The sequence below is a fragment of the Homo sapiens genome, chromosome 5 (assembly GCF_000001405.40).
Source record: "Homo sapiens chromosome 5, GRCh38.p14 Primary Assembly".
NCBI lineage: Eukaryota > Metazoa > Chordata > Mammalia > Primates > Hominidae > Homo > Homo sapiens.
The window spans coordinates 74542290-74554600 of record NC_000005.10 but is presented as its reverse complement, the minus strand read 5'-3'; the positions used below and the strand labels follow the sequence as shown (position 1 = coordinate 74554600).

Here is a 12311-nt window from a genome sequence, read left to right as displayed (position 1 = left end):
AGAACAGATATGTGAAAATACTCCTAAAACATAAAGCAGAATTTTTTATTCAGGCATGAACATGCCAGTCTTTTAAGGGAAAGGGCTTTCTGGAGATACAGTCCTTTTGCCCACAGACAAACTGTCTCGGAGGAAAGTTCAGGCATGGGAGCACATTGGGAATTTCTTAGGAATCCATAGACATTTTGATGAGACTCATACTATTTAGCAGAGTGGCATGGTCTGCTGGTTGCCTATACAAAGTGCTCTCTGTCTCTCTTTTTTATTTGTGAATTATATTATTTGGGATTGCAAATGTGTCCAGGTAAAATACTGCTTGCCCTAAATTCTCTTGTAGTTAGGGTGGCCAATTAAAGCAGACAGCAGGACTTTCTGTTAAGCTATTTAAAAAAATCTATACCAATGTCGATAGCAGCATTAGTCACAATAGACAAAAGGTGGAAATAACCCAAATCCATGACAGATGAATGGATAAACAAAATATGGTATCTATAGGCAACAGAATATTGTCCAGTTCTAAAAAGGAAGAAAATTCTGACACATGCGACAACACGGATGAACCTTGAGGTCCTCACACCAAAGTAAAATATGCCAGCCACAAAAGGACAGATATTGTATCATGCCACTTATCTGAGGTACCTAGAGTGTTCATGTTTACAGAGACAGAAGTTGGAATGATGGTTGCCAGGGGCTGGGGGGAGAGGGTGATATGGTTTGGCCATGTCCCCACCCAAATCTCCTCTTGAATTGTAGCTCACGTAATTCTCACATGTCATGGGAGGGATCCGGTGGGAGGTAATTGAATCCTGGAGGTGGGTCTTTCCTGTGCTGTTCTTGTGATAGTGAATAAGTCTCATGATATCTGATGGTTTTATAAAGGGGAGTTCCCCTACATGAATTTCCTGCCTGCTACCATGTAAGATGTGCCTTTGCTCGACCTCCTACCATGACTGTGAGGCCTCCCCAGCAATGTGCAACTGTGAGTCCATTAAACTTCTTTCCTTTATAAATTACCCAGTCTTGGGTATGTCTTTATTAGCAGCATGAGAATAGACTAATACAGAGGGGCAATAGGGAGTTAATGTTTAATGGGTACAGGATTTTAGTTTGGTATGATAAAAAAGTTCTAGAGATGGATGACGATGATGGCTACACAACAATGGAGATGTGCTTAATGCCACTGAACTGTACATCTAAAAACAGTTCACATATAAATTCTATTATGTATGTTTTACCATAATGAAAACAACAACAACAAGAGATTTAAAAATTCTTAAGTTTTTTAAAAAAGAGATTCACTTGACTAGGTGGGATGCATTTTTCTTTTTCTTCTTTCTGCCCTCATTCTAGATTTAATGACTGGTGCTCTAGCAGCCTCCTTGATCTAGAGGCAAACTTGAGTACATAAGGATGCAGTGCAAAGATAAAATAAGTCTGGATCCCTAGTGCTGCAGAAACATTATATCAGTTTGGATTTCTTAGCTCTCTTTTGTGTAGAAGAGAGAAAACTGTATCTTGTTTGAACCTCTCATTTTCGTTTTCAGTGATGTACCAGTAAACCTAATCTTAATGAGTACACTCGTTCTTTTATTTGTTGACTTATTATTTTATAAAACATGTATTGAACTCCTACTATGTTTGAGGCACTGGAGATACAAAAATGAAAAAAGGCCAGGCACAGAAGCTCATATTTGTAATCCCAGCAACTTGGGAGGCTGAGATGAGAGGATTGCTTGAGGCCATGAGTTTGAGACCAGTCTGGGCACCATAGCAGACCTCGTCAATATGAAAAATAAAAAATTTAAAAAATTGGCCTGGTGTGGTGGCATGCAACTGTAATCCCAGCTACTTGGGAGGCTGAGGGGGGAGGCTCACTTGAGGCCAAGAGTTTGAGGTTACAGTGAGCAATGATTGAATGATTGTACCACTGCATTCCAGTCTGGGTGACAGAATGAGACCTGACTCAAAGAAAAGAAAAAAAAAACAATTCTGCTCTCAAATCTCAAACCCTTGCTTTCTATAAGGAAGAGCAATAACCAAAAAGCCTAGTCAGGACCACTGATGTGATGTCCGGTTGCTTCCTCTCTGGTAAGCCGGTGAATCATACTTTGTACAGAAATCTTTTTAGATAAAGCCTCTTTGTAAAGAATTCAACACCTTAATAACTTTCAGGGGTGAGACTTTGCCAAGCTCTTGGCTACAGCACACGGCTGGGTATGAGTTGTACTATCTATGACTGGGCTAATTGTATGTTGCTGATGGCATATGTATATTTATTCAATATCAACCCACGTTTATCTGAGTCCCACTTTGTACTTGCAGTGAGCAGCAATGAACAATAGGCCTGACTGAAGCCTCAGTGATGGATCTTATTGCAAACCACAGACTTTTAAAATTCCCCATTCAGTGCAGAGTCTTCATAGAGGGAAAGAACTAAGATCCCTATTGATAACTACAGACACCGTGATGACCTCATTGTCTCTGCCTCTCTCCACCGCCAGAGTATTTCTTAAGGTCCCTGGGTAATGGTAACACTAACAGGCTTCTTTGCAGATCAGTCATTAATTTCAATTTTGAAAAGCCTTGGAAATTACATTAGAGCTCAAGGTTAGAAGAATGAAGCACTTGTACCCAAGAGTGGTTGAGAGGTAAGTGGAGAGGAATGCAGAAGCCACCTTGGGCAAGTCTCTTCTCTTCAAACTTGAGTTCCTCATTTCAGAAATAAAAGTGTTGAATGTGATATTTCAGGGTCCTTCCAGAGCTGATATTCTGTGATTTCTAGTTATTAATCTGCTTGAGTGAAATGGCTTACTGGAAGATTCGAACTTGTGCCTGTCTGGAATCCTAGAGTCCTGGGTCACAGGGTGTTCAATCATTCCTTCACTCACTCATGCATTCATCCACTGAACGTTTCTCAAGTGCCTTCCAAGTGCCTGTTCTTAGGTGCTGGAACTGTCGAGATGGATATAACACAGTTGTTACCTGAAGAAACTCAGGGTGCATCTGGTGAGGCACAAATACTTTATGAGGCAGTAAGAGTGTTAATAAAGATGAGAACACAAAGGAGGAAATACCTGTGGTAGGTGGGGAAGGTTTTCCCAAGGCAACCAAATGAGAGTCATGAGGGACCACTCATGTTAAGAATTTTTGTTCATTTTCTGGTTGATACAAGGGAGTGATCAAAAGTAGTTTCTAAAAGCATCTCACTTCCAAGGAGAGTTCAGGATAAGAAAATACCCAAGGAATTGTTCATATTCATAACTTGGTGGAATGTGACAGCAGAAATTGAAGGGGCTCCCAAGAAGATTCCATGGGCTCAACAGATAATCATTCCACTTGTCTTGCACCATTAACTTAACATAGTAACATGCTTTAACATGTCGTAGAATTCAATGTCAAATGCTCGGTTTAGGTCCTAATTTTCAATAGCGTAAAAATGCAGCGGGGTAAGACTTTGAACTTAGACCTAGGCCAAATCCCAGTCTTATGTAACCTTTGGCTGGCTTCTTTACCTGTCTGAATCCCAATTTATTTTTCCATAAGTTGAGAGCAATACTGCCTACCTTTTAGGGTTATGGGAATCAAAAAAGCTAATGAAAGTAATGTTTTTGGAATTTGTTAGTGCAATGATTCACTTGTACCTGTGATTTTTAAAACTGAAATCTCTCCCCACTAGACTGGGAATTCTGAGAGGGCAACAACTCTGCTTTTACTTCCCCTTGTACCTACAGTGCCTAGCACAGTGCCTGGCTTATGGTAACAAGTGATGATGGTGATGATAATGATGATGCTGATGTTTTCTTGTAAAACATGTTGGATGATGATGAGGGACACCCTTTCAGGGTTTCCCTCTGCAATATTTGTGAAAGGACTCAGAAGTCAGATGCAATGGCTCATTCTGTTTGTATAGGCCTTGTTTCCAGGCTCTACACAGCCATGCAAGGTGTTTCTTAGATGTCAGCTGGATCAGGCAAATTCTCATAGACTATCAGATTCACAGTGTCAGCAGGAAGGAAGTCCTGGGGCTATAGCTGGTTCATTTCCAAAGTAAGGTTCAGTCATCCATTATCATCCTTATATCCAGCCACCGGATCATTTGAGTAATACTCTCTCATTTTCTCTGGGGCCAGTCTCTGTAGGAATTTTCTAAAGCATGGAGTTTGGGAAATGTAGAATATTAAGGTCTAAGTATTCTTCTCCTACTTGGATTAAATATATTCAGATATCTTCCTCTGTCAGATTTGAAAGTTAAAGACACATCTGCATTGGACCATTTCAAAATACAAGTTTGGTGTTTTAGGCCTTATTCTCACTAGGATATGCGAAGAGAAGTGTCTTTCATAAGCGTAATTCTCTGCTTGGCAATTCGTTTCTGAACATGAAAGAAAGTGGCCCCTTCCTGTTTTCTTTCCTCTGAGATTGAACCTTTACCTATAGTTTCCTGGGACAATCTCAAGATCGTGGTGTCTTACAAAAAACATGGGCTTCAAAGTCAGACAGGTCTCAGTTCCAATTTGGGCTTTCTGACTTAACTGCAAAAATGAGGACAAGTGATTTAGACTTGCTGTGCCTCAGGTTCTTTATCTATAAAATGGAAATAATAATATATACTTCAGAGGGTTATATAAATGTCAGAAAATTGAGGACATTGTATTTGCCTTAGTTTCTCATATAGAGACTAATATACTTATTTGGAAGGAATACTTGGATAAGGATAAGCCACTTTGGGTAGAGGACGAGACCCCCAAGAGCAAGCTGAGATGCATAATATGATTGATACATTGAATTGCATTAGATAAAAAAGGAGGACTTTATTTAGCTTCTAACTTGGGGCAGGTGGGACAGAAAGGGGGCGGGAGAAACAGTGAGAGGTGGAGGGAGCTGTGTTATTTGCTGGGCTCTTTCTGCATTTCTGCAAACATCTCTCTTTCCTACCCACTTGCAAATCTGTAAATTTGATTAAACTGACCGGATTGGTGTGGAAACAAGCAAAGGGGGGCTGGTTTTCCATTTGGGTGGAAAGAAAAGGCAGCAAGTGTGAATGCAGAAACCAGATGCTGAGAGATTACTCTAAAACTCCAGGAATTCATGGAAATTGAGAGGAGGGCTTTGAATTTTCACAGCTTTTTTTAGAGTTGGAAAGTTTAAGCCAAGTTTACTAGAGCTCAAGGGACAAGGAAATCCCACCGGATAGCCAGATTCATGAGGATTTGAGTTAATGTCCCTAAACAATGTACTCCATAGTGATCACCTAATAATTGGGGGCTACTATCTTTGGCTGCAATCAAATCCAAAGTTGAGTAAAGTGTTTGACTTGAATTGTCCTTTCAATGTTGGGGGCCGAGGCTAGACCAAGAAAAGAGATGCAAAAATTAGTCACTTTCTTCATCCAGCCCTGTGCTGGGAAGTATCTGCCCCTGAGTCCAGACACTAGCGTTCTTGTTTTTGGTCTCCTGATAACTAGTTGTTGAGTTTTTGACATATCTTCTAAATCTCACCTTCAGGTTTGGTGTTTACTTTTTTTTTTTAATGAATTTCCCAACAATGATCTCAAAGGAATGTCGTTGTCAGGTTTGAATGGACAGTGGAAGTGCTTTGCCAACTATAAAGTATTATAGAAGAGTAGTGGTTAAGTGTTATCCTGGCTTCCCTGGCCACACCCTGCAAGCTGCAAAAGGACATGGACTCGCTGTCTGCTCAAGACTGTATCTCTCTGCCTAACACAAAGAAAGTACCAAAAAAGTATTTGTTGAGTGAATAAATGACAACGTACAGCACTTTTCTATTTTAAAATAACCACATGCGATAATGGACTCTCTGGCACTGTCTCTCTAGCATCTATGCTGACACTCCTGTGTTCCTCTGACTCCCCACTTCCATTTTCTCCTCTTCAGCCAATGACCTTGTCCACTGCCTTATGGAACACTTAAAAACTCGTTATTGCCATTCTTCCTCTTGAACCAACTGTACCTGCAGTTTCTATTTTTTATCCACAAACCCAAGCAATCTGGTTTCTACCCTGGCACTTGACTAAAATGATCCCCAACAGTTGATGCAAATTCACTGATTGGAAAGCCAGTGACCTCTTCTCAGACCTCATTCTCCTTCACATCTTTGCAACACGAAAGACACTCTGCTCACATCTGCTCTCTGGAAGTGTCATCCCTTGGCCGTTTGACTCTACCACCCCTGGTCTCCTCATGCCCTTCTGACCATATATGGTTGCATATCCTTGTTGGCTTTCCTCCCTTCCTCTATCCCTCCCCACCAGTGGACCAAATATGCATTCCCTGCTTACCTGGTATCCACTGGGCTCCACCCTTTCAGCCTGTCCAACACGTGCCATGCTCTGGGCACCAGCGGCTGCACCGGTGCCTTCTTGCTTAGACACCTGCTTCCCATAAGCTCCAACTCATTGCTTGATTCTTCAGCAAGGGCATTCTGTATTCTTGGTGCTTGGGATCCACCACCACCCACTGTTAGCCTGGGCTGATCTCCCCTTCATGAAGCTGGCGGGCGGGAGCGGATGTCCCTTCCTCAATCTCCCCCTTCTTGGAATCCATCACAACATCCTCTGGGATCTCTGTGCAGATGATGCACAGACCTGTTTCTCTGGCTTTCACCTTACCCTCACATAGCAGCTCTGTGGCTTCCTAGCTATTTCCACATGAAGCCCCTGCCACTCTCTCAGACCCAGCTCTACTGGAATCACATCCATTTTCTTACATAACCTGGAGTCACTTTCTTCACAATCAGTGACACCACCATTTGCCCCAATTTTTCAAGTTTGTCTTTGGTTCTGGTTTTCAATTTCACCTTTGATTCCTCCTGCTACTTCTATTTCTGCCCACTCTATTCGATTATACTAAAATAATTTGTTGCCTCTTCTCCATAATGTCCTTTACACTTTCCCGTCTTTCCATTCCCATGCCATTTACATTCCAATTCCAATTTAGTTCATCATCTCTAGTCTGAATGAATACCATATTCCCCAGCCCATCAGGAGAGGGTAAGGTTTGGTTCTACATTTGGAGTTGGGTTGTCTGGGTTTGTGCCAAGGCCTTGCTGCTTCTTACTGTATATTAAAGGGCTTGTCCTTGTCCCAAACCCCTGGCTGCAAGTGCATGGTCTGCTCCCTTTCTCTGCTGGAATCCTAATCTTCCTTTGTGGCTCAGTTTGCCTCCCCTCTTCCATGCAGCCTCCCTGACCCAGCTAGTTCACATTGCTTTCATGATCCTCTGAAACACATTGGTACCTGTGTATTAACAGTACCATGTCCTAGTTAGAAAACTTCTATCAGACCAGATTAATTCATTTAGCAAATGTTTACCAAGCTCTTTCCTAGGGACTGGGAAAATACTGTGGAACAGGACATATAAGAAAACTTATATTCTAATTGTGTGTGTGTCTGTGTGTGTGTCTATGAGAGAGAGAGGTAGTTAACAATCACATAAGTACATAAGCAATCAAGAAGGTATCTAGTGATAAGTGCTATGATGAAGATTTAACGGTGATGGACTTGAAAGTATTTGATGGTCTATTTTGGGTTAGCTGTGCAGAAAAGGATTTTCCAAAGAGGGAACATTTAAACTGGATCTGAGTCATAAGATGTGTTAGCCCTAGGAAGATCTGGGGAAGAATTTTCTAGGTAAAGAGGATAGCAAGTTGAATGCCTCAAGAATAGAACAAGCTTAGTGGTTGCCAGAAGAGAAAGAAAGCCTATTGCCTGTGGGGATGAGGAAGGGCAGGTGAGAGAGGTGGTCCCAAGGGCAGGGGAACCTCTGGTAAGGCACAGCTTGGTAGCCTCAGGTAGAAGGTTTTATTATTATTATTATTTATATTTTTGGGACACAGTTTCGCTCTTGCTGCCCAGGCTGGAGTGCAGTGGTGTGGCCTTGGCTCACTGCAACCTCTGCCTCCTGGGTTCAGGCGATTCTCCTGCCTCAGCCTCCTGAGTAGCTGGGATTACAGGCACCTGCCACCACGCCCAGCTAATTTTTGTATTTTTAGTAGAGATGGAGTTCTACAATATTGGCCAGACTGGTCTCAAACTCCTGACCTCAGGTGATCCACCCTCCTCAGCCTCCCAAAGCGTTGGGATTACAGGCATGAGCCACCATGCCTGGCCAGTAGCAGGTTTTAGATTTAAGTTAGGTGTGACAGGGAGACGTTTGAGGGTTTTAAGCCAAAGAATGATATGTTTAAACTTACTTTAAAAATATCAGTCTGTCTGCTGTGTGGGCAAACAGTGGTAGATCAACCAAGTGGAGATAGAGAGCCTAGTGAGGAGGCTATTGCAACGGTCTGAGTGAGTGATGGTGGTGAGTGCAGAGAGAGAGAGAAGGGTGCAAATTGGGGTATGTTTGGAAGACAAAGATGGTGGTCCTGGTTGACTGATTGATGTAGTTGTGGGGATGTCTTGGTCTTGGCTTGGGAAGTTGGGTGGTAAGTGTTGCTGTTTACTGAGGTCAAAGTGGCAGAAGCCTGACAGGGGCACAGGTTAAAGTGTTTTTTGATGGCCTCATAGTGACTTCATAGAGGGGGTGAGATAAACTGAGCCTTGAAGAAGGATTAGGAGAACAGTGAAAGGGATGGGTCAAGATCCTGGGAAAACCAGGGTCTGTTTTGGACATGTTAAAGTTCAAGGTGTCTACTAGGCCTCAAAGTGGGGATAGTGTCTGAAATATATATATATACACTTTTTTTTTTTTTTTTGAGAAGGAATCTCGCTCGGTCGCCCAGGCTGGAGTGCAGTGGCACGATCTCGGCTCACTGCAAGCTCTGCCTCCTGGGTTCACTCCATTCTCCTGCCTCAGCCTGCTGAGTAGCTGGGACTACAGGTGCCTGCCACCACGCCCAGCTAATTTTTTGTATTTTTAGTAGAGATAGGGTTTCACCGTGTTAGCTAGGATGGTTTCAATCTTCTGACCTTGTGTTCTGCCCGCCTCGGCCTCCCATAGTGCTGGCATTACAGGCATGAGCCACCGTGCCCGGCTTGGCGTCTGAAATATTTTTATTCACCTTTTTTATGTGCACATTTCTTGCTTTGCAACCTAGAGAGCAAGCAACTCAGGGTTAGGGATCGTGTCCAATATGTTTTGCATCTCTCACAGTGCTAGGGAAAAGCCCTATGTACAGCAGGCCTTCATTAGATTGGAATGAATGGATATATTTGATCAGCGGGAAAACTAAGGACTAAAGATGACTGAAGATGTCAAAACTAAGCCTTTTCTAATTAGCTCCAATAATTTTTTTGAAGTCAGACTTCATTGACTCTAGCAGTTTTTCAGCCCATGTTGCGAGACTTAGTATTGGGGAAGAGAGAATCCTAAAGAGCTTTGGAGTCCAAAATTCACTGCAGAGGGACTTCTGTTACAATTTTGACCCTCTACAAAACCTCAGACTACCAAACAATGGCCTTTTCTGTTCATAATTGTGCTAGGTCTATGCTTTCTGACTTGTCTTCTTGCCTGCGATAGCACCCCAGGTTCTGTTCCCTGTGGGGCTCCTCTAACACCCCTCCCCTCACTGATCTCCAGTCTCCATTGCCTGAGGAACTCTCTTTCTTTATCAAAAGCATGTCATCAGGAACCTATTTAACACCCTGCTGTGGGTTAGGGAGCTAGATATGCTCCTGGCCTCAAGATTTCTGACAACACTTTAGAATCTTTCTGCAGAAATTGTCATGGCTCACTCATTTCCATCACCATCTTCAGAGGGTTGGGGAGGTGACAGTGAGGACATCGTTCAGGCTCTGCAGCATGTGCCTGGATATGGGTGTTAACCTAAAGCAATGCACATCTCCCGGGCTGTCTGTGTTTCAGTGAAGTGGCTGAGAGAAAATGCTTGGGAGTCAGACAGCGCGGGCTCTGAGTCCTGACTAGTACTTTCTAGCTATATTTCTAAACCTCGGTTTCCTCATTTGGATCATAGGCTTTTAAAGATCTACTTTGCAATGAACAAACAGTTATCAATGAACAAATGTATGTAGGGTCACAGTGGCTGACACAGTCAGCATTCAATAAATGGTAACTTCTGCTATTATTATTATTATTATTATTATTATTTGAGACAGAGTCTTGCTCTGTCACCCACACTGGAGCACAGTTGTGCGATCTCAGCTCACTGCAACCTTCACCTTCCGAGTAGCTGGGACTACAGGCATGTGCCATCACACCCAGGTAATTTTTTGTATTTTTAGTAGAGACAGGGTTTCACCATGTTGGCCAGGCTGGTCTTGAACTCTTGGCCTCAAGTGATCCACCTGCCTCGGCCTCCCAAAGTGCTGGGATTACAGGCATGAGCCACCACACCCGGCCTCCTGCTATTAATAAAATTGGACATACCACGTAGAACACCAACAAGGGACTGAAAACAGACACAGATACAGCAAGAAAGTGCTGATAAAATCTTTTAGATATGAGAGAGGACAAAACAGAAAAAGGAAGAGTTTTTGCAAATGTAGGTGGTGAATGCACACGTGGAAACCTGAAGGCTATGTTATCAGCCTGATTCAATTCATGGGGACCTGATAAGGGAAAGGTAATATTTCCTGGAACTCACTCCATCAAGAACACAAAGATTTTATGACTTCTCTTCTTTCAGACACGCACAAAGCCAACAACACAATAGATTTTCTTTCCCAAATCCCTTCTTTAGAAAGCTTTGCGGCTAAGGACAGTATCTCTATGTAAAAATCCACTCCAGGGGGTCACTGACTGCCTCTGGGGTCAGGAAATGGCTCTCTGAAGAGCTTGCTGGGCTTTGTGGTTGGATGCCAGGGCTGAGGATTGCATTAAGTTCTTCGAATAAGCCTGTAGTTTGGCAAAAAGGCTTTCCTCCTGGGCAGCTGAATAATTTTTAGATGATCTAGCTGGCACATCGTGGAAACACGCTAATGAGTCAGGAGTGATCTGACTCCTCCCCTCACCCCACACCCCCGTTGCTCAAGGGTAGAGAATTTCCAGGGAAGCCAGTGAAAGATTTATGAGACTAATCCCGGAAATATTTCTTCCCCATCTATTCTTCTCAGCAGGGGTGCCAGCAGCCCTGGGTCTGGAGTGTGAGGGGTAGAGAGGGCAAATTAGAAGGGGACAAAAACGCTGACTTCTGCCTTCAAGTGCTAGAGAAATCGGCGACTATAGAAACCACCTAATTAGGGTTCCACTGTCAATAAAATATTCAGGTCTTTTTTTGGAATGTGCCTGCCTGCAGGCCCCACAGAGCTTCATGGATGAATTTGAGGAGGCTTGGAGCATTGTGGCTTGTGGAGCATGGAGTGGGGGAAAGCTTGTTTCAACTCTGGGCTGGGAGGAGTCTGACAAGTGAGCTCTTCTGACTCACTTTTACAGGGATGAGGGGGAGGAGGCTGCAGGGATTTAGCGGCGTAGGGCAGTGTCTCCCGTCACCCGTGAACTTCCCTCTCCACACCCTGCATGTGCTGCATCTTCTTTGGGTGGGCTGACCTCTCCATGACGTCCTGGTTTGGAGGGCTGTCCTGTCTTTCTTATAACTCCAGGCTCCTTTTATAGAAAAGCGAGGGGATGGGAGTTGGGTCACTGGAGAATATCTATAACAGGGTGCCACTCTTGGGTTAAAGAAAAGCTCCTGTGTGCCTTCAAAATATGATTTTAAAAAATATATAAAAAGGTAAAATAGAGTAAGAAAATTCAATCCTTCTGGCTCAGTTTCAGTCACGCATGGGCAAAGGGAACAGAACTATCAGGCATGATTATTTGCCACGACTTTCCCATTTTTTGTTCAGAAAAATATTTTAGTTGTAAAGGTTGGGAAAACTAGGCTATTTGAGTTTTGCCTCTTATGTCTTCCCCCACCCTGTTTTCTGTAAAGACACTGCTAGAAATGGCCAAAAAGGATGTCAACACTGGAAGAGGCTTCAGGCGCCAGCAGAGCCTGCTGGTGAGTAATGAAGAGAGGCATAAACCACAGGAAAGGCCCTTCTCTTGATTAACACGGATTCCATTCAGCATCACCTTTCCTCCTTGTTTCAGGTAGCCTCAGTCCTAAGATGGAGAGACCTTCTAGTCTCTGAGGAGAATGGTCCTGGGCTAACCTTTGGTTTGGACTTCCCTCAGACCCTCAATGGCTGCTGCCACCTGGGCACAAGGATGGCCTTCCTACCTGGGTCCTCTACCCAAAGCTTTCCAAACACAGATGTACTGTTTAATAGGGAAAAGGGACCTTTTTTTTTTGAGACAGGGTCTTGCTTTGTCACCCAGGCTGAAGTGCCCCAGTACAATCACGACTTACTGCAGCCTCAACCTCCCATCTCAAGCAATCCTCCCATCTCA

At 43.4% G+C, this 12311-nt stretch overlaps 1 annotated feature.

Moving 5' to 3' along the window:
- Positions 11354–11915: an enhancer, noted in NCBI's record as "H3K27ac-H3K4me1 hESC enhancer chr5:73838511-73839072 (GRCh37/hg19 assembly coordinates)". NCBI's record gives its function as "activates a minimal SCP1, AML or CMV promoter by ChIP-STARR-seq in naive H9 embryonic stem cells {active_cell/tissue: H9 hESC(naive)}" and the evidence as "EXISTENCE:reporter gene assay evidence [ECO:0000049][PMID:30033119]".